A 21,784-nucleotide genomic window follows, 5' to 3' on the forward strand; every position below is an offset into this window, starting at 1 on the left:
CCACCCGGAAATCGCGCTGGCCCGCAAGCGCCGCTCCCTCCACACCTCCCTGCAAGCTGAGGGAGCCGGCTCCGGCCTTGGCCAGCCCGGAAAGGGGCTCCCACAGTGCAGCGGCGGGATGAAGGGCTCCTCAAGTGCCGCCAAAGTGGGAGCCCAGGCAGAGGAGGCGCCGAGAGCGAGCGAGGGCTGTGAGGACTGCCAGCACGCTGTCACCTCTCACTGGGAGCCAGGCGGACCCTCCAGCCACAGCCCGGCCGACCCCTTTCCCACCAGTGCCAGCCACTAAGCCTGTCTGCTCCAAGCCCCTTTCCCGTTTCCCTGACCAATGTCCCTCGGGATTAGGGACCAAGGAGCAGCTGTCTAGGATGCGCGCCTTGCGTCTTCCATGCCCTCCCCTCTCCCTCCTCTTTGCATGCTGTTTCTCAGTTCCCAATAACCAGGCCACACAGAGATTCAAGCATTTGTTTCTTCTTTCCTACGCCATTGAAGAGGCTGACGATTATAATAATTACAATGAATTACAGAAGGAGGTGGGATCTCAGTCCTCCAGGGTCAGGGACTCTTAAACTACCTCCTTTCTCTCTTTGCTCAGCTCTTCCCCATACCCCTGTCTCAGTGTTTCTTCCTTTCCTCAAAATCCTCAACAGAGAAGCCAGAGCTGGGCAGGTGTGGGGTATGGGTTAGCCAGAGGTGTGCTGGGGTCAGGCCACCTCGCCGGTGGCATTCCGCCTTTTCTCACACACCCAGCGGTACACCTGCAGGCAGAAGTCATCGTTCCAGCGGCCATCCGGCTGGACTTCAACACAGTCTTCACTTCCACCCAGCTCGTGCCCGTGCCAATTATCTGGCTGAGTGACAGCCCAGTTCCTAAGGAGGCAAGAGAAAACTCGGACTCTGCCACGGTGGTGAGAAAGCGACTTACCCATCCTCCTCCTCTTCATGACCATTTTCCTTGAAGGCCGAGAGTGGAGCTGGGGTGTGCCCTGCTACCCAGTCTGGGGAGAACCCAACCGCAGAGAAAGATGTTTCCTATGCCCAGTCCCAGCAACCCTCACCCCCAGCCCAGAAGAGCACAGCTTTGGAGGGGTTGGAGTCTGGGGAGGAGAGGATTGGGGAATTTGGTCCCTGAGGGACGAGTCAGGGTAGCTTGGAGTGAAAGGCCAGGGGGCTGTCCCCAGAGAAATCTAACAAGGAGATGAGGGAAGAGGCCACTTACTTGTAGTTGTGCCTATAGTCTGTGCCATCCACCCATTTCCAAGAGCCATCACTGTCCGTGAGACCTATCCAGGTATTGAAGGGGTTCGTGTGTTGTACAATGAATTTCTGGAAACACAGGCAAACAGGAAATTTCTAGTCTCTTGTGCCTTTCTCCTCCCTCCATGCAGGCATGGAACTGTGGCCCCTCTCAGCCTTCCCCAGCCTGATCTGCCCTCAGGCTGAAGCACCAGCTCCCGACAAGACTGCTTCCTAGCTTTTTCTTCCGTCACTCTAGCTACTGTTCAGTGCACATTTGCTAGGCTAGACTTCGTGCTGTCTGTGCAAAGATGATCTCATTTAATCCTCAGAAGCTCTCTAAGATGGGCACTGCAGTGACCACATTTTGCAGGGAGTTGCAGAGCCAGAGAGCCAATCCTGTACCTGAGTTAGTGGCCACTGTCCCCTGTTCACAGCCCTGGGCCGGTGTCCCCCTTCATTCCCAGCTTATGGCTCTACCCAAGTTCCGGTTCTCTCCCTGTCTTCTGCCCACAGCCTCGAACTCCTGGGATCCCGACCCTGGTCCCTGCTCTTACTGCCCCCCAGACCCCAGACCCACTGAAGATCTCAGTTTCACTGGCCTCTCAAGTACATTGGCCCCTGGTAGCTCTCGCTTCTATGTGTAGCTGTCATTTCCTGAGATCTGTCAGGCCCGGGAGCTTCTAAGCTTGGACCCACTGCCCAGGGCCCCATTATGATCTAGCTACGTGGAGTCTGACAATCGGGGCAAAATAGGAAGACACCGGGGTGTGAGGAAGCAGCCCGGACAGCCAGTTGCCAGGGGCTTGGGTGAAAGTGGACTTCGAGCCTGCAGATAGCTCCCCGGGACCCACGCGCACCCACACTCCCAGCACGGTAGCCCCTCCAAGTGGCTTTCTCTTACACATACAGCTGTTCCTGGGGACCTAGGTCCCGTGGTTCGGTAGGGTAGGAGGGGAAGGTGTGGTCACCTGGTTTTGTGGAGAAAGTGGAGAGGGATGGATCCGTTGAGCAACGTGCACACTTAACAATTCCCTTTGACAGCCTGGAATTTTCCTTCCAACAGTATTTGAAGGACAATTGCCTAATTCTACTCTCACTCTCTAGAAAAACAACTAAGGTTGCAGTTATTCACCTCTTCCGATTGAGCATCAGAAACTGGGGCATCCCTAAATTCTGGAATCCCACAAATAGGACAAAGTCCCATGCATGAAGGGGCAGCCCTCAGAGGCAGGTGAGGCTGCTCCCCAAATTCAGAGGAGTCAACGGAGTTGGAGAGAAAGTGCCTGGAGACAACACACACTATGTGCTGCTACCTGCTGCCAGCCCTCCCTCCCATCACCACGAGAAACAGAACAACTGAGCAGACTACAAATTAGCAGTATCCAGCCCGCCGTGTTAAAGACTGAGAGGAGGAATCAAATCATGCCAGATGATCAGAGAAGACAGTCCGGGAGAATTCATTCCCCCTTTCCTGGGTGAACCATAGGAAAGAAAGCACTGTGCCCATTCACAAAAGTAATGGAGAAAATCATCATGGAACTTATGCCCCCAAAAAGAAAGAGGAAGATGAGGCAGATGAAAAATGAACTGTGATATCAAAAAGAGAGGTGAAAAATAGACTTTGAAAAGAAGCCTTGTTTCGGAATATGAGGGGATGTTGGAGAACAGTTTCTTTTTTATTATTATTATACTTTAAGTTTTAGGGTACATGTGCACAACGTGCAGGTTTGTTACATATGTATACATGTGCCATGTTGGTGTGCTGCACCCATTAACTCGTCATTTAACATTAGGTATATCTCCTAATGCTCTCCCTCCCCGCTCCCAAGAACAGTTTCTTTACATGCTTCAAAAATTTTAAAAAGAATGACATAAAACATGAAAGAAGATATAAAAAAAAAAGAGAACATGATAAGGAAAGGAAATGAAAAGTTTGAGCTACATACTAAAAAAAAAAGCCCAGGTGTGGTGGCTCACGCCTGTAATCCCAGCACTATGGGAGGCCAAGGCAGGTGAATCACCTGAGATCGGGAATTGGAGACCAGCCTGACCAACACGGAGAAACCTCATCTCCACTAAAAATACAAAATTAGCCAGGCGTGTTGGCGCATGCCTGTAATCCCAGCTACTTGGGAGGCTGAGGCAGGAGAATCGCTTGAACCTGGGAGGCGGAGGTTGTAGTGAGCCAAGATCGTGCCATTGCACTCCAGCCTGGTCAAAAAGAGCAAAACTCTGTCTTAAAAAAAAAAAAAAAAAAAAAAGCCAGGCGTAGTGGCTCATGCCTGTAATCCTAGCACTTTGGGAAGGCCAGGCGGGAGGATCACCTGAGGTCAGGAGTTCAAGACCAGCCTGGCCAACATGGTGAAACCTTGTCTCTACTAAAAATATAAATATTAGCCAGGCATGGTGGCAGGCACCTGTAATCCTAGCTACTCGGGAGACTGAGGCAGGAGAATTGCTTGAACCGGGAGGCAGAGCTTGCAATGAGTCGAGATCGTGTCACTGCACTCCAGCCTGGGCGAAAGAGCAAGTCTCCATTTCAAAAAATAAAAATAAACAAAAAATTTCAGATAAAACACTTGAGGGGCCGGGCGTGGTGGCTCACACCTGTAATCCCAGCACTTCAGGAGGCCAAGGCGGGCGGATCACGAGGTCAGGAGTTCAAGACCAGCCTGACCAACATGGTGAAACCCTGTCTCTACTAAAAAATATAAAAGTTAGCCAGGCACGATGGCGGGTGCCTGTAATCTCAGCTACTCGGGATACTAAGACAGGAGAATTGCTTGAACCTGGGAGGCAGAGGTTGCAGTGAGCCAAGATCGCGCCATTGCACTCCAGCCTGGGCGACAGAGCAAGACTCCATCTCAAAAAAAAAAAAAATTTTTTTTTTTTTTCAGATACAACACTTAAGGAACCTAGGAAAGGAAAGACTCAGACACATGGGAATAAGAGGTATCCTGGTCTCCTCACCTTTCCTATGGAAGTTATACAAACTTTTAGTTTTCAAAGCCAATAATTTTCAGCCTATTATTTAAAGTTATACAAGTAATCACTGGAATAACTCTAAATAAACTACATAGTTTCCAAAATACCATAAAGAAGAAAACAAAAAGAACACCTCTCACATAGCAATTGTAAGAAAATTAAGAAGCATGTAAAGCAGAAAAAAGAAAGGACTAGGGTTAAACATATCTATTAGAATGTAAATGAGACACTCACCTATTAAAAGAAAAGGTACTTATTAGATTTTTAAACATCAAAAACAAAACCTGCCAGGTGCAGTTTTTGGATTACAGTGGCTCAGACACCTGTAATCCCAATATTTTGGGAGGCCCAGGCGGGCGAATCGCTTGAGGCCAGGGGTTCAAGACCAGCCTGGGCAACATGGCACAACACCATTTCTACTAAAAATGCAAAAAACTACCCAGGTATGGTGGTGTGCACCTGTAGTCCCAGCTACTTGGGAGGCTGAGGTGGGAGAATCCGTTGAGCCCGGGAGGCACAGGTTACAGTGAGCTGAGATCATGCCACTGCACTCCAACCTGGGCGATAGAGCCAGATCTTGTATCAAAAACAAAACAAAACAAAAAACCTATATAGGAGAAATACCTTAAGCTTAGCTGCCCTGTGCTGCCCCTCAGGGAATGGTCCAGGATGAAGCCAAGATTAATTTAAATTAGCATTTTTTTTTTTTTTTGAGTCAGAGTCTCGCACTGTCACCCGGGCTGGAGTATAATGGCGCAGTCTCAGCTCACCACAACCTCTGCCTCCCGGGTTCAAGTGATTCTCCTGCCTCAGCCTCCTGAGTAGCTGGGATTACAGGCACCCGCCACCATGCCCGGCTAATTTTTGTATGTTTAGTACAGATAGGGTTTCACCATTTTGGCCAGGCTGGTCTCGAACTCCTGACTTCATGATCCGCCCACCTCGGCCTCCCAAAGTGCTGGGATTACAGGCGTGAGCCACTGCACCCGGCCTAAATCAGCATTTTTAAGGGCGAGATCCAGGAGTCGATATATTTTTTTTAACTCTTGAAGAGATTGCAATGTACAGTCAAGACTGAGAATCATTAATTTAAAACAGAGATTCAAAAAGGTAAGAAACAAAAGGATGGACAGAGATACAGCAAGCAAATGCAAGTGACAAAAAAATCAAGGACCGTGGTATTTATATATCAGATAAATTCAAGGCAAAAAGCATTAACTGGGACACACGTTGGCTTCATAGTGACGAAAGCACCGTCCACCACGAAGTTGTAGTGGTCATGAGCTTATTGTGTGCCAAATCACAGAGCACTGAGATCTTAGGTTGAACTGCATGAAACTGACATTTTTATAGGTCAAAACTGATGAAATGTTGGCAAGTTCAACCTGATCAGTAAAGCAAAATATGTTCGTACTCACAGTATGCTGTAAAGTACTAACAGAGCCTGATGTAATGCAAACAATACATATATTCTGGCCCCTGTATCATATGGCTTAACTACTGTGGCATTAAAATACTTTGAAGTTCAGCCAGACGCGGTGGTTCACGCCTGTAATCCCACCACTTTGGGAGGCGGAGGTGGGCGGATCATGAGGTCAGGAGTTCCAGACCAGCCTGGCTAAGACGGTGAAACCCCGTCTCTACTAAAAATACAAAAAAATTAGCCGGGCATGGTGGCACGTGCCTGTAATCCCAGCACTTTGGGAGGCCGAGGCAGGAGAATGGCGTGAACCCAGAAGGCGGAGCTTGCAGTGAGCCGAGATCGTGCCACTGCACTCCAGCTTGGGCGACAGAGCGAGACTCCATCTCAAAAAAAAAAAAAAAATGGATAAAATAAGCCTGATCCAGCCTCCCAGAGCAGGCCTTCCAAGGGCTTCCTCCTGCCTGTGGGAAGCGTGGCCTCACCTGCTCCTCCCAGGAGTTGATGACCACCAGGTGTGCGTTCTCCAGCTGGCAGTACTTCTCCGCCTCAGCCCAGGCCTTCCCGGAGTGAGAGAACCAGTAGCAGCTGCCTTGGTGCTCCACCCAGTTGACGGGGCAGCAGGTCCTTTGGGAGCCTGAGGGGACAGGGGGCAGGGAGATGAGATCCAGCCGGAGGGGCAGGCACACTGGGCCTGGAGACGGCCCCACCCCTACCGTTGCTGTGGAGGAGCTCCATCTGGCAGGCCACGAAGCGCAGGTCCACGGGGAAGTGCTTCAGATGGAAGAGCAGGGCATCGTGATCTAGGACAGACAGGCTGAAAGTGCTGCCGGCAGGTGTGGTCCCCACCTGCTAGGCTCCAGCCTGTGGCTGGGGAAGCATATACACCCACAGACACGTACACCATGCATAGACCACACCACACACCATACCACACACACACCACAGACATGTACACCACACATAGACCACACCACACACAGATCCATCACACACACACAAACACACCAAGAGACACACCACACACATCACATGCGTACACACACATATACCATACCGCACACACACAGACTCATCTCACACACACCACCACACATGCATACACACACAACACACACATATACACCACACTACACACCACACACAGATCCATGACATATCACACCACACATACGGAGAGAGACACAGATACACATGCTTGCAGGCACACACACGCACGCACGCACACGTGCACACTACACACACCGCACACGTACACACTACACACACCGCACACGTACACATGCACGCACATGCGCACACACCCCGGAGGCTCTCTGACCTGCTTTCAGGTCCTGCTGCTGTTTCTCCAGCTTGGCTCCTAGGGATGTGATCTTGTCACCCACGCTGCCTCCTGGAAGCGGAAAGCCAGCTGTTTCCCCGCTGAGCCTCCCTCCGTCCTCATGCTGCTGGGGGACCGGGGGCCAGCGCCTCGTCCTGGGCGATGCAGGCGTCCACCTCCTGGCTTCCTGGACCACACCCAGGCTCCCTGCACTGCCACAGTGGCTCAGGCCACTCTCCTGCTTCAGTCCCTTCAATGGGTCCCCATTTTCTCAAAATAAAGCCTCGCTCTGTCAGCACGGCTCACCTGCGTGGCCGGGCCCCTCCCCACCTCTCTCTGGCCACCCCTTACCTGCCTGCCCCTCCGATGGGCCTGCCACACTCGATTTGCTCACAGGCCCAAGACATGGTGCCTTCCTCACCTCCGGGTGTCGCAGATCCAACCTCTCCACCTGGCACTAACCTCGTCCGTCCCCACCTGCCTCCCTCCTATACATCCCCCAGGGCCCCTGGACGCCTTGCCCAGCCTGCACCCCCACGGCACCCCACACAGCCCTGTTGCAGACTCGGCACTGAGCCCAGCAAACCTGTGCGGATAAATGAGAACCCAGCCGTCCAGCCCCTCACCGTGGGTGCTGATTGCCTGGACCTCCGTCAGGGTGCTCGAGGAGAAGTTGCTGAAAGCTTCCTTCAGGCTCCGCAGCTCGGCTTGCAGCTGTGCACCTTGTCAGGTGGTAGTGGGGGCAGGATGAGGCAGAGGGGCCGTGTCCCCATCACTGTCCATGTGACTGGCCCCTCAATGTCCCCGCATTTGCCCCAGCTTGTGCTCCACCCCGCCTCCATCCCTTCCCCTCCCATCGCCCCGATCGCTGCCCGCCACTGCCCATGTCTCTTTCCCTACCCCTTGCCCATCCCTGCTGGCCCCCGTGACCCTCACTTTGGGACCCAGTCACACAGATGACCACCAGCAGCAGGATGTTGAAGCTCAGGGCAAGCAGACTGAAGCAGACCATGGAGCAGAGACGCTGTGCCAGGGGCTGGGCAGGAGGTGGCCCTGTGGGAGAGGGGCATCAGGAGCCGGCAGCCTGGGTGTGGGGAGCCGGAGGGTAAAGACAGGGCACCGAAGCCTGAGGAGGCATAACCTGGGCGGGGGGATTGGTTGGGGCCATGGGGGGGGGTCATCATAGGCTTTGACCCCAGCATTTGAGCATTACACACACACTCTTACACACTCGCACCCATATTACCATGTATAAATATACACACGCAGCTAATCTGGTGCACACACACCCATGCACACGACTCAGGATATTCACATCAGCTGTGTGCAAAGCCCGGATCCTGGAGCTGGGGGACTGGGAGACGCACAGGGGGCGGGGGGGCAGACCCGGCCCTGCCTAGGCACACATCCTGAGAAGGGGGATCTGTGAATGGTTTTCCTCCCATCCAGCCAGTGGCAGAGGCCTCCAGATCACCTCGGGCCTTAGTCTCAGCTCTTCTAAGGCTCCTGTCCCCTCAGATTGGAGACTCCAGAAGCTGGGCCCTGTGTTCTTCCTAAAATCCATACTGGAACAGTCCCTCCCCTGCCAAAATTCCATTGAGATCCTTAAATCTGGGTCATTCCACCATAGCCCACTCTCCAAGCACAACCCTCCAGGTCCCACCTGTTGTCCTCATCCCCCACCACGCAAGGCCTCCTCCCCAGCGCCCTTTGCCCTCGCTTCCCTAGAAACCTCGTTCCACACTAAATTTGCTCCCCTCAGCCCGAGGTCATCTCACAGGTACCTCTCCTGCCCCTTGATCCATCTGCACCCTGACAGCACTGACACACACATTCACATGCCCTCACAAACTCACACACACTCACACACTCACACATTGCTCACTTCACTCAAAAACACACATTTGCACACACTCATGACCACGCTCTGCTGTACCCACTCTCACATGTGCATATGCATGCTAATGCACACATTCATACTCCCTCCCACACACACACACCTGACACACCCACACACGTACACTCACACACCCACGTCTTCCTGCACACAGAGCTGGGCTCCCTCTCTGCTGCCTCCAGACCCAGAGCAGCTCCAGTTGTCCCAGCCCTGAGCTCCTCTCTTTGCAGCATCCACCTGCAAACAGAACACCTTCTAGGCCTTGGACCCTGACTCTGTGGACTTCCTTGTCTTCTCATTCCTATCACCCCCCGACCCAGCAGGACCACATCCTGGGGAGGCTCAGTCAGGGGCCCAGAATCTTCCTCCCCAGGTCACTTCCTGCCACTGTCCTGAGTCAGACACTGCCCCTGTAAGTGACTGTCCATAACTCTTCATCTTTTTCACACCAGTGACTTCCACCTTCCCCACTGCAGCCACACTCAGGACCCCATTTGACCCAGGGAGGCCTCTGACACCTCCACTGCCCACTCCCGCTCTGAGCACAGCCCCACCCTCCCTCTCACTGCCCCCACCCCTTCCTCCAAGGCCTTTGCATTCCTCTCCATCCAGAAGCGCTCCATGACCACGGTGTTCCCCACCAAGCTGGCCCTCCATGGCTGAGTCCCTGACTGCTGTCTTCAGCACCCTCCACTCAGAGGGTCCTGTCCTGCTTCCCAGTCCGACTTATCAACTCCCAATGCTGGGTCAGCCCAGCAACGTGTCTGTATATCCACCCTGAAACCAGACTGCCCACAGGGTAGCCCAGCTGTGCCTCCAGGTAGCTCTGAGATCATGCACCAGCATTCAATTTCTCCATGCTTCCATTTTCTCGTGTGTAAAATGGAGATCACAGTCGTAGCTACCCGATTGGATTGCTCGGATAATTAGATGAGTTAAAATATGTAATGTGCTTCTTAGGCAAAAGTTTGAACATAAAAGACAGGGTCTGCCCAAGATGGGAAGAGTTCTTCTCTCCCCAGAAACAATCAAAACAAAAACAGACAACTATAGAACATGGCAGCTTTCAAGACTCTGGACATCAGGCAAGGAGGAGTAAAGATCCCTGAGGGATAAGAAGCAAACAACAGGAACCCTCCGATCACCCCAGCTTACTGTTTGGAGAGAGTCTGCAGGTTACAGGCCAGGAAAGGGAAGTCCAGGCAGAGCCCAAGAGACTCCCCACGTTGAGGAGATGGAGCTGAGAGTCCGAGGAGACCAAAACAATTAAGAGTTCAAACGATCAAACTGACTCTAAGTTGCTTAACTGCATCCCGGAGCAAAGCTCAAGAACATTTAGAGGAATACAAAAATATCCAGCACCCAACAAGGTGAAATTGACAATGTCTGGCAGCCAATCAAAGATTACAAGGCATGCAATGAAACGGGAAAACACAATGCATAACGAGGAGGTTCATAAATATCAAAAGAGATCCAGAACTGACACGGATGCTAGAATTAGCAGGCAAGGATGGTAAAACAGATATTATAGCCATATCCCATTATGTTCAAAAAATTAAGTAGAATTGTGGAGGATATTTAAGAGTCCCCAGGTGAACTTCTAGAGATAAAAACTACAATGTCTGAAATGAAAAAACACACTGGCCAGGCGCCGTGGCTCACGCCTGGAATCCCAGCACTGTGGGAGGCCAAGGCGGGCAGATCATGAGGTCAGGAGATCGACACCATCCTGGCTAACATGGTGAAACCCCATCTCTACTAAAAATACAAAAAATTAGCCAGACGTGGTGGCAGGCGCCTGTAGTCCCAGCTACTCGGGAGGCTGAGGCAGGAGAATGGCATGAACCCGGGAGGCAGAGCTTGCAGTGAGCCAAGATCGCGCCACTGCACTCCGGCCTGGGCAACAGAGCGAGACTCCGCCTCCAAAAAAAAAAAAAAGAAAAGAAAGAAAAGAAAAAACACACTGGATGGAAATAATGGAAGATGAGAAATGCGTAAGAAAAATTTAGGGCCAGGCACTGTGGATCACATCTGTAATCCCAGCACTTTGGGAGGTCGACACGGGGGGAATCACTTGAGCCCAGGAGCTCAAGACTAGTCTGGGCAGCATGGCAAAACCCCTCTACATGGCAAAACCGTCTCTACAAAAAAAAATTTTTAATTAGCCAGGTGTGGTGCCACATGCCTATAGTCCCAGCTACCTGGGAGGCTGAAGTGGAAGGATCGCCTGAGCCCAGGAGGTGGAGGCCACAGTGAGTTGTGACAAGCTACTGCATTCCAGCCTGGGCAACAGAGTGAGATGAGAGAGAGAGAGGGGAGGGGAAGCGAGGGAAGGAAAGGAGGGGAGGGGAGGGGGAGGGGAAGGGGAAAATTTTAGTTAACTTAATGAACAGCAATAACTCTATAAAATGAAACACTGGGAGAAAAAAGAATTAAAAAATGGAAAGAGAATGAGTGAGCTGTGGGACCCTTAATACATGCATAATTGAAATCTTTAAAAGAAAAAGGGGGTAGCAGAAAAAAATCAAGTGCTGAGACAAGTGGAAGATGGGCCCCGGTGAGCAGCTGATCAGTGTCAGCTCCCATGATGACGTTCCCCCAGCCCCCACCACCCGGGCTGCTGGAGGGAAATGCGGTGACTTTGCTACATCCCTTCAGACGGTCCCTCACTGGTGTCCCTCAGCCCATTCGCGTGAGCTCACTCTCCCATTAATTTCAGAAATCCTGGCCTCTCTCCAAGCCTCCTGCTCAAACTCTAAATTCTGTCACCCTCAGAAGATTCAGCAGCATCCCGTATTCTCTCTGAGTGTTCACTATGTACCGGGTGCCGTGTGGGCACTGGAGTTGCAGAGGAGAGTGAGGCGGACAGGGCCTCTGCCTGTGGGGACACCGCCTGGTGGGAAGTCCAGCCAGCCCCCTACAGAGAGAGGAGATGCTACTGGTGTTCCTGAGTGGTCCTCGGGAGGGACCTCCTATCCCTCCTGTCCCCTGCCCTGCCCTGCCCAGCACCGGCCCTCCCTCGGTTGGCCAGCCTCAGGAATGAGGAGTCCCTCATTCCAGCCCAGCTAACCAATCCCCTTCCTAAGCTCCAAGCCCCTGCTCCTCCTGCCTCCATGGAACCCGGCTCCACCACCAGCACCCACACACCTGACACTCCTCCATTCCTGGCTCTTGCCCTTCTGCCTAGCACTGCTCAGATCTCTCTCACCTTAAAATCTTTTCCCACCAGCCTGGGCAACATAGCAAGACCCCATTTCTCTAAAAAATTTTTTTTAATTTGCCAGGCACAGTGGTGCACACCTGTAAGTCCTAACTACTTGGGAGGCTGAGGTGGGAGGATGGCTTGAGCCCAGGAGTTCGAGGTTGCAGTGAGCTATGATCCTGCCACTACACTCCTGTCTCTAAAAAAAAAATGTCCAAGATACTTAGGTCCTTCAGTCAAGATTTATTACAGAAGGATCCAGGGAAGGGTCTTGGGAGATGAGAGGAGCAGGGATCTTCCAGGATCTCTCTGTGCTCACGTCCCCCACCCATCCCAACTCACCCCACCTCTACACACACACACACACACACATACAATCACATACACACACTAACACACACACTCACGCAACACACTCACACACACAACATACATAACACACTCACAACATACACACACAACACACACACTCGCACAACATACACACACGCACAACATACACAACACTCACACAACACACAAACATACATACACTCACACAATACACACACACAACACACACACAACATACACAACGTACACACACACAACATACACACACTCATACACAACATACATACACACAACATACACACAACATACACACACTCACATACACAACATACACTCGCACAACATACACACATGCACAAGATACACACACAACACACAACATACACTCACACACAAGATACACACAACATATACTCACACAACATACACACACAACACACTCTCACACACAACATACCCTCTCACATACACGACATACACACACACAACATATGCACGCTCTCGCGCACATATACACACACACAACATTCACTCACACACACACACAGAGTCCCAGCTGAATCTGCATTCCTCATATGCACATACGTGCACACGCACATACGAGGCACATGTGTTCTTGGGTTGGGAGGAGAAGGGCAGGCAGTTATCTTCCAGATCTCCCCACACCTCTGGCACATGCCTTTCCTGGGGTCCTGGGGTAGACAGGAAGGTGAGGTGAGGGAACAAGCGGGGGTGTCGGGCCCTCCTCAGTCCCTGTTCACAGAGTGGGTGCGGCAGAGACCTCAAAGGGACAGAGCAATCATGAGCTGAGACAGAGGGGGAGCAAAGCCGCAGAAACTGCACACTTGCCTTTCAAAAATGGATTTCCTCTCCTGGGATTCAGCCTGCGAGTGCCTGGCCCCTCACCTTGATGGAAAGGATGGTCATTTTCCTCCGAGCTCAGCTGCTGGATATCTTGAAAGTCCTTGGCCATGATGGGGCCCGGGCTGGAGCTGGAGCTGGAGCTGGGCTGGGCTGGGCTGAGGTTGCTCTGAGGGCTGGGGCTGGGGCAGAGGTGCAGATTCACGTGGAGGTTGATGGTGGGATGGAACGCAGGGTCGGAGGGGTTCGGGGTGGTGGCCTGGGTAGGATCTGAGGTTGGCAGGGCGTTTGGGATGAGGTTTGAAATCCCGCTGGGTCCTTTCCCTTCTCAGGAGACCGCTTGGGCCTTGACCTGGCCAGGAGACCCCTCCCCACGCTCATGGACCCGACCACCCACAGCTTCCCATGGGGTCCTCCCCATCCCTGAACCAAGGCCTCCTTGTTCCCAAGCATCCTCGTCCCAGTTGCCTCCCCAGCCTCAGTTACCTGTGAAAGGTGTGGAGAGCGGACACCTGGCTCCCGCAGGCAACCCTGGCCTTGGCCAAGGAGGGGTTAAAGCCAGGAGAACTGGGGCAGGTGGAGCTCACAGGGGAGAGGAGAGTGGAGGAGGGGCTGGTCCGGGCAAGGCCTGCACTGGAGGGTCTGAGTGTCCAAGCTCTAACCTGGCACCTCCTGGCCTGGGACTTTGGACAGTAAACAGAAGAGGAAACAGAGCTGTAACTCATTTGTGGGGTGGGGGCAGGGGACGGGGCTATCTCTGTTCTTATTCCCAGAGAGGGGGGTCCCCTGGGCTGCGCTCAACTCCACACGCCACTCACCCCACTCATTGCACCATTTGGAAGGGGTGCCAGGCCAGGAGGGGCTGGGGTGCAGTTTGCCGTTTCCCTCTCTCCCTCCCCCTCTCACTTCCTGCCTCCGAATTTACCAGAACTGTGGGTGTCTCCAAATATCCCTGACCAGGATCACAGCGACCAGTTCTCTACTCTTGCCCAATCCGGCATCTGAACCACAGACCCCAGCTTCCTGTGGGCTCGGCCACCAGACTCTCAGCTCTGGCCCAACTCGCTTCACTCTCCTGGAGAGTAAAGCCTCTCAAATCCAGAAGCTTCAGCAGGAGGAGGAAGGGGCTTTGCAGAAAAACAGCTCTCCTCGCAGGAGGAATCCAACCTCAGAGAGCCCCGTCCGGCCCAGACCCTGCCCCAGCCCAGGCAACACAAACACTGTCCTCAGGCCCAGCCACTGCCCTAAATTCTCCAAGGTGTTTCTTCATTTATCACAGCACAACACCCCCACGAGGCAGGACTTCTGTTACTCCCATTTCACAGGGTTCGGAAGCGGAGCCTCGGAGAGATGAGGCAACTTGCTCTAGGTGGTGGCCCAGGTGAGTAGAGAAACTGGCAAAGCAAAATGGAGTAAAGAGGGGAAAATAACATCATAACAAAAGGTCTGGCCGGGCACGGTGGCTCACGCCTGTAATCCCAGCATTTTGGGAAGCCGACGTGGGTGGATCACCTGAGGTCAGGAGTTCGAGACCAGCCTGGCCAACATGGTGAAACTCTGTCTCTACTAAAATACAAAAATTAGCCGGGCGTGGTGGCAGGGGCCTGTAATCCCAGCTACTCAGGACGCTGAGGCAGGAGAATCGATTGAACCTGGGAGGCGGAGGTTGCATTAGCCAAGATTGCGCCATTGCACTCCAGCCTGGGCAACAAGAGAGAAACTCCATCTCAAAGAAAAAAAAAAGAAAGAAAGAAAAAGAAAAGAAAAGGTCTTCATGGTCCTACGAGGAAGACTGGCTTCCATGAAGCAAGGAACGTGGCTGACTGTCTACACTTGCGCTAACAATAGCTCGGGAAAGAAAACACAGTTTTTGTGCATGATTTTCTGACCCTCACCAAACTTGGGCGGATGGCTACGGGCAGGGTTTCTTATAAAGCTGCTCGTTTCCCCGGGTGCCGAAAAGGAATTCAAACAGAGGCCTTTTCTGTTCTTGTAACTTGCTGACCCACATGGGAAGTAGCCACCCCCCCAGTACCCTGACATTCCCACCCAGCCACCAGGCAGCAGCAGCCGCTGGGCTCTCTGACTGCAGCCCACAGCGAGAGACGAATTTCATGCTGTGATCCAGAACATACACACAAGCACCCGCACACACAGGTGCATTTGTATGTGTTACTTTCTCCTGGATCCCCAGTGCCTGCCACACAGTAGCTGCTCAACAAGTATCTACTGAGTGAGTGAGTGAATAGAATAATGCGTTTGGAAATACACGGTTGACACTAAAGTTTGATGGGACAATGCTCACCTTACTACGTGCCTTCTGTTGAGTTTCCCAGTCCATTAATGGGTCACAACTCAAAGTCTGAACAACACTGCTGTGAAGCCCCCATCTTAAGGGGCATGTGGATTTAGTCCTGAGATACAGGTAAGAGCTTCACAGATGGATTGTCTACTGCATGTCAAGCTTTGCCAACTGCCAACCAGGGATGGGGCCATCCTCATTGGCCACCCCTTTGACTGAACCAATTCCACGTTTCAGGGCTTGTCACTTACACCCCCACTCACGGCACTACAGGGAGAGAAGGGACAGAGAAAGCCAGACTCATCTGCGTCCTTCTCTTTCTCCCTATTTGAAAATCATTTTAACTTAGAAGTTAACATGTACTTGGACTATTTCTGAAGTTTCCATATTGTTGGAGGTTTTCTGTTTTGGGTTATGGAATCCTATTTTCTTTGATTGATTTTTTTTTTTTTTTTTTTTGAGACAGAGTTTCACTCTTGTCACCCAGGCTGGAATGCAATGGCGCGATCTCAGCTCACTGCAACCTCCACCTCCCGGGTTCAAGTGATTCTCCTGCCTCAGCCTCCTGAGTAGCTGGGATTACAGGCATGCACCACCACGCCCGGCTAATTATTTGTATTTTCACCATGTTGGCCAGGCTGGTCTTGAACTCCTGACCTCAGGTGATCCGCCCATCTCAAACTCCCAAAGTGCTGGGATTATAGGCGTGAGCCATCGCGCCCGGCCTTATTTGGTTGATTTTGATTTGGGGTTTATTTGTACCTCAGACACAAAGGTTAGATTGGTCATATTCCTTACTTCATGACACTAGGTCTTCCTCAGAGGTCTGAGCTAAACCTTTGTCCTGTTTCGTTCTTCCCTAGCTCCCATCCTGTTTCCCCTCACTAATTCTATACTCTCTACTCTCTATAGGCAGCCAGAAGTCTGAGTGCCCTGACAGTCCCCACAGATGGTGCCCATCAATTTCTCCCCTCACCACATGTGCAAGTCACACCACTCAGCCAGGGGTAGAGTCTGTTTCCCCTCCCCTTGAGTCTGGGCTGGCCCTGTGACTTGCCTTGACCAACAGAAAGCACTAGAAATGACACTCTGCCAGTTCTGGGCCTGGACCTCAAGAAACCTGGTAGCTTCAGTTTTCAATCTTGGAAGTCAGTCACCATGCTATGAGGAAGTCCAACTATCCTGCCAGAGAGAGTCCTGGGGGATAAGACAGCACATGGAGAGAGAAAGAGGCCACACAGAGGTGCACTGAGGCCCCAGACATGTGAGCAAAGTCTTCTGGGAGTTTCCAGGGCAGCCCAGTCACCAGCTGATTGTATCCAAGTGTTTCACTCCAACCAATACCCCGTGGACCGCCCAGCCTAGCCCTGCCCAAATTTCTGACCCAGAGAATCTTAAGAAAAAACAGTTGGTTTAAGCCACTGGAGCTTTGGGGTGGTTTATTATGCATCGGTAGATAGCTGAAACAATATATATTACTAAATATGTAGGTACCCTTATAAAATATGTGATGGGGTTTGCATGTCTATCTGTTCTGTATTTACATACACAGAACTTTCATATATCTCATTTGTTTCTGATCTTTTTCACTCAACAAGAAATTTTTTAGAGCTATTTGTATTGCTATTTGTTACAATGGATTGTTACATTGCTATTTGTTTATCTGGTTTGTTGCTATGAACTGCTGCACAGTATTCAATGGTGTGTATCCATCACAGTTTATTTCCCCTAATAATGAACTCAGGTTGTTGCCAACAACTATCACAATTAACATGACGACTGATGTCCTCATCGTGTTCCCATGTGGACCTAGGTGAGAATTTCTCTTGAAACTGTATCCAGGCCAGGTATGGTGGCTCAGGCCTGTAATCCCAACACCTTGGGAAGCTGGAGTTGGGAGGATCACTTGAGGCCAGGAGTTCAAGGCTGCAGTGAACTATGATCGCACCACAGCATTCCAGCCTGGGCAACAGCAAGACCCTTTCTCAAAAAAAAAAAAAAAAAAAAAAAAGGAATGAAAGAAAAGAAAAGAGAAACGAAGGAAAGGAGGGAGGAAGGAAGGAAGGAAGGAAGGAAGGAAGGAAGGAAGGAAGGAAGGAAGGAAGGAAGGAAGGAAACTATATCCCCGAATGGTATTGCTCATTCGCAGAGTATTGCCATACCTAATTCCACTCAGGACTGCCAGACTGTTTTCCAGAATGGCTCTGCCAGTTCACACTCCCACCAGCAGTATACGAGGGTTCTCTTTTTGGCTTTGTCGCTTGATATTATTAACATCGCAATTGTTGCCAAGCTGATGCCATATCCTTGTTCTTTTATTTTGCATTTCTGGCTAACAGTGGGTTTGAACATTTCTTCATCGATTTATTAATCATTTGGGTTTCCTCCTGCATGAATTGCCTTTTCATATCCTTTACCAGTTTTTCTATTGGCTTTCCTGAATTCACTTTGTTGATAAGCCAGAATTTCCTGTATGTTCTACTTGTTCAGAAAACGAGACCTTTTGAAAGTTAAAAAATATATACATGTTGTTAACTCCAGAAAAATTAATAGAAGCTCTGAAACATAAAATTTAGAAAATCTTCCAGGAAAAAAAAAAGACATAGGTTTTTTTTTTTTAAATGATAAAAGTTAAATTGGGAGAAATTATTTTTTCTCTGGTCTCATGCTACTGAATATATTTCCCACTAGGGAAACTAGACAATCTCCAGACTCCCTTTCTCTCTTTTTTTTCTTTCTTTCTTTTTTTTTTTGAGACAGAGTTTCCTTCTTGTTGCCCAGGCTAGAGTGCGGTGGCCGCGATCTCGGCTCACTGCAACCTCCGCCTCCCGGGTTCAAGTGATTCTTCTGCCTCAGCCGCCTGAGTAGCTGGGATTACAGGCACTCACCACCACACCCAGCTAATTTTTGTATTTTTAGCAGAGATGGGGTTTCACCATGTTGGCCAGGCTCGTCTCGAACTCCTGACCTCAAGTGATCCGCACGCTTCGGCCTCCCAAAGCGCTGGGATTACAGGCATGAGCCACCGCGCCCCGCCCAGACTCCCCTTCTTAACCCACTCTTCCTCAGGGGAGGAAACTGACTGATTGGCATGCTTGGCTCCGCCCCTTGGGGGGGCTCCCTTTGGTGTCTTTCTGCCCACAAGAAGCACACCTTGTATTCTACTCTCTGCCAGGCGGCACAGAGCTGCTCCTGCTTTGCCCTCCTCTGCCTGTGACTGGGTGGATACATCTGCTTAATTATTGGATGAACTAATTACAAGGTTTTTTGATCTAAGGTTTTAAGTCAAATCCTCCTTGTTGCTTATCAGTAATTATGCTAACATTTTGATATCCGCTCATCTGTCTACTGTGTCTTGGCTCTCAATTGATTTCAAACTTAAGAGGAAAAGATAGGGTTCTTTTTTTTATTAGCCCCATAAAACCTCCCCAAATAACACAAACAATATGTTCAAAGAACCAACATCCAATTAATAGAAGTTCTAGAAGATAAATAAGAGGAAGAAAAGGAAGAAAAAGATGAAAGAAAGAATACAAGGCTGGTACTTAGAATTAAAAAGGATAAGTCTCCAGATTTAGGTATTCTAGTAATAGCCCAGCCGAGCACATTCATTCAAAAATGACCCAAAGCGTGTCACCATGAAATTTCAGAATACCAGGGATAAACAGAAAATTCCAAAAACTACCAGGGGTGGGAGTAAATCACCTACAAAGAAACAAGAATCAGAATGGATTTCATTTTTCAGCTGTTATATTGAACACGAAGAGACAACAGGATGATGCCTTCAAACTTCCAAGGAAAATTTTTTTCAACCTAGAATTGTAGACTCAAATGATCCATGGCACGAGAGGGGAGGCTACAGAACTGTCAGATATTCCAGTTCTCAGACTATTTATCTCCTACTCCCATGTGAGGAATTACCCCAGAAAGTGAGGAAATTATCCAAAAACAACACATGTAGAAGAACATCTCAGTATAAGCCTTTTTCATTATTAGGAAAGAAAATCTTATTCAGCTTTTTCTGTATTTTTTGCCTACAGGCTGACTTTTTTTCTTATAATGCAAACTGGTGAAATTCCAGAACCTGGCCTTGGAAATGCAAGTCACCATAAAGAACATGAGTTTAAGGTCTGGGCATGGTGGCTCTCGCCTGTAATCCCAGCACTTTGGGAGGCCAAGGCGGGCAGATCACCTGAGGTGGGGAATTCAAGATCAGCCTGACCAACATGGAGAAATCCTGTCTCTACTAAAAATACAAAATTAGCTGGGTGTGGTGGTGGGTGCCTGTAATCCCAGCTACTCAGGAAGCTGAGCCAGGAGAATCGCTTGAACCCGGGAGGCAGAGGTTGCGGTGAGCCAAGATTGCGCCATTGCACTCCAGCTTGGGCAACAAGAGCGAAACTCGGTCTTTAAAAAAAAAAAAAAGAACATGAGTTTAAGGAAGCAGTAGAGACTCTCCTATGATAAGCCGTCAAAGTGAGAACGTTTACTAACTCCCCATCTTGTTCTCTCATGTACTGTGGAAACCTAGGTGGGCACTTATAATTCCTGCTGACTTTCGGCCGGGCGTGGTGGCTCACGCCTGTAATCCCAACACTTTGGGAGGCAGAGGTGGGCGGATCACGAGGTCAGGAGATCGAGACCATCCTGGCTAACACGGTGAAACCCTGACTCTACTAGAAATACCAAAAATTAGCCAGGCGTGGTAGCGGGTGTCTGTAGTCCCAGCTACTCGGGAGGCTGAGGCAGGAGAATCACTTGAACCCGGGAGGCAGAGATTGCAGTGAGCCGAGATCGCGCCACTACACTCCAGCCTGGCAGAAAAGAGCCAGACTCTGTCTCAAAAAAAAGAAATTGTTAGCGAAACATCAGGAGTTCAGTCTAAGTCCTGCGGCTTTGCTGCACACAGAAAGCCAATCACTGAGATGATGAGTAGTGCCAAGGAAGAAGGCTTTAAATCAGGTGCTGCAGCCAAAGAGATGGCAGCTGTCTCAAATCCATCTCCTGGACTGACTAAAACCAGGGGTTATATAGCAGGGAAGAAATGTAACAATGTGTCAGAAAACAGGAACTAGGGAGGTGCAAGGAGGCATTTGGTGCGTGATCTGGTGAGTTTCAGTTCTTCCATACATTTCTTTTTTTTTTCTGAGACGGAGTCTTACTCTGTCACCCAGGCTGGAGTGCAGTGGCACGATCTCAGCTCACCACAACCTCTGCCTCCTGGGTTCAAGCAATTCTCCTGCCTCAGCCTCCTGAGTAGCTGGGATTACAGGCACCCGCCACCACGCCCGGGTAATTTTGTATTTTTAGTAGAGACAGGGTTTTACCTTGTTGGTCAGGCTGGTCTTGAACTCCTGACCTACTATACGTTTTTGAGAGGACTGAAGGTACTTTCCTGAGGAAGGAACTCAAATCAAACAAATATAAGTTTCGTCCGGGCACAGTGGCCCACACCTGTAATCCCAGCACTTTGGGAGGCCAAGGCCGGTGGATCACGAGGTCAGGAGTTCAAGACTAGCCTAACCAACAGGGTGAAACCCCGTCTCTACTAAAAATACAAAGATTAGCCGAGCGTGGTGGTGGGCGCCTGTAATCCCAGCTACTCGGGAGGCTGAGGCAGGAGAATCACTTGAACCTGGGAGGCAGAGGTTGTGGTGAGCCAAGATCACGCCACCCTACTGCAGACTGGGCAACAGAGCAAGACTCCATCTCAAAAAATAAAAAAATAAACATATATATATATATGAGTTTCAAGCTTTAACGGCAGAAGGGTCAAGTTCTATGTTTATCCAAAACTGTCTGTGGAACTATAGGGCCGGTTTAAAAATCAGAAGAGGGGCACTGGCCCTTTCCTCTTCTCCTATGGGCATGATGGAATAACTGGGATTTGTAAGTCTGCTAGAATAACACTTAGCAAATAATTCGAATTAAGTTAACACTCAAGACACTGACTGTGGCTAAGAACGCCACAAAGGAAGTCCTCCTGAGAAAGAAGAATCTTATTTTAGAGAGTTTTTATTTTAAGAAATAGAAAACTGCCCTAAGGAAAACATTGCAAGATTAGAATAACTGGCATATCTCCAGTAAAAGCAAAAGAAACTATGCAAGAAGAGAAATGTTATGACAATAGAGTACTAGGTTCTGCAGGACATAACATTTACATAGACATGTAATGTGAACGTTTCATTTTCGTTTTTTTACTAAAGATGCTGATGTAACTGCATTTG

General features: G+C 50.2%; 1 protein-coding gene across 17 annotated transcripts, besides 3 other annotated features; it reads right to left on the reverse strand.

The window, feature by feature from the left end:
• Positions 449-14,273, reverse strand: ASGR2 (asialoglycoprotein receptor 2). Of its 17 annotated transcripts, none has more exons than XM_017024651.2 (10): positions 14,181-14,273; positions 13,742-13,938; positions 13,301-13,437; positions 7,884-8,015; positions 7,589-7,684; positions 6,963-7,034; positions 6,358-6,444; positions 6,127-6,278; positions 1,217-1,323; positions 449-867 (listed from the first exon to the last, which is right to left on the reverse strand). In XM_017024651.2, the coding sequence occupies exons 3-10, from the start codon at positions 13,365-13,367 to the stop codon at positions 702-704; spliced, it is 879 nt and encodes a 292-aa protein (XP_016880140.1). In that variant the 5' UTR covers positions 13,368-13,437; positions 13,742-13,938; positions 14,181-14,273; the 3' UTR covers positions 449-701.
• Positions 11,795-12,295: an enhancer, noted in NCBI's record as "H3K4me1 hESC enhancer chr17:7015987-7016487 (GRCh37/hg19 assembly coordinates)". NCBI's record gives its function as "activates a minimal SCP1, AML or CMV promoter by ChIP-STARR-seq in naive H9 embryonic stem cells {active_cell/tissue: H9 hESC(naive)}" and the evidence as "EXISTENCE:reporter gene assay evidence [ECO:0000049][PMID:30033119]".
• Positions 14,101-14,887: an enhancer, noted in NCBI's record as "H3K27ac-H3K4me1 hESC enhancer chr17:7018293-7019079 (GRCh37/hg19 assembly coordinates)". NCBI's record gives its function as "activates a minimal SCP1, AML or CMV promoter by ChIP-STARR-seq in naive H9 embryonic stem cells {active_cell/tissue: H9 hESC(naive)}" and the evidence as "EXISTENCE:reporter gene assay evidence [ECO:0000049][PMID:30033119]".
• Positions 20,969-21,068: a silencer, noted in NCBI's record as "silent region_8086". NCBI's record gives its function as "represses an Ori minimal core promoter by ATAC-STARR-seq in GM12878 lymphoblastoid cells {active_cell/tissue: GM12878}" and the evidence as "EXISTENCE:reporter gene assay evidence [ECO:0000049][PMID:35858748]".

The sequence above is a fragment of the Homo sapiens genome, chromosome 17 (assembly GCF_000001405.40).
Source record: "Homo sapiens chromosome 17, GRCh38.p14 Primary Assembly".
Classification (NCBI taxonomy): Eukaryota; Metazoa; Chordata; class Mammalia; order Primates; family Hominidae; genus Homo; species Homo sapiens.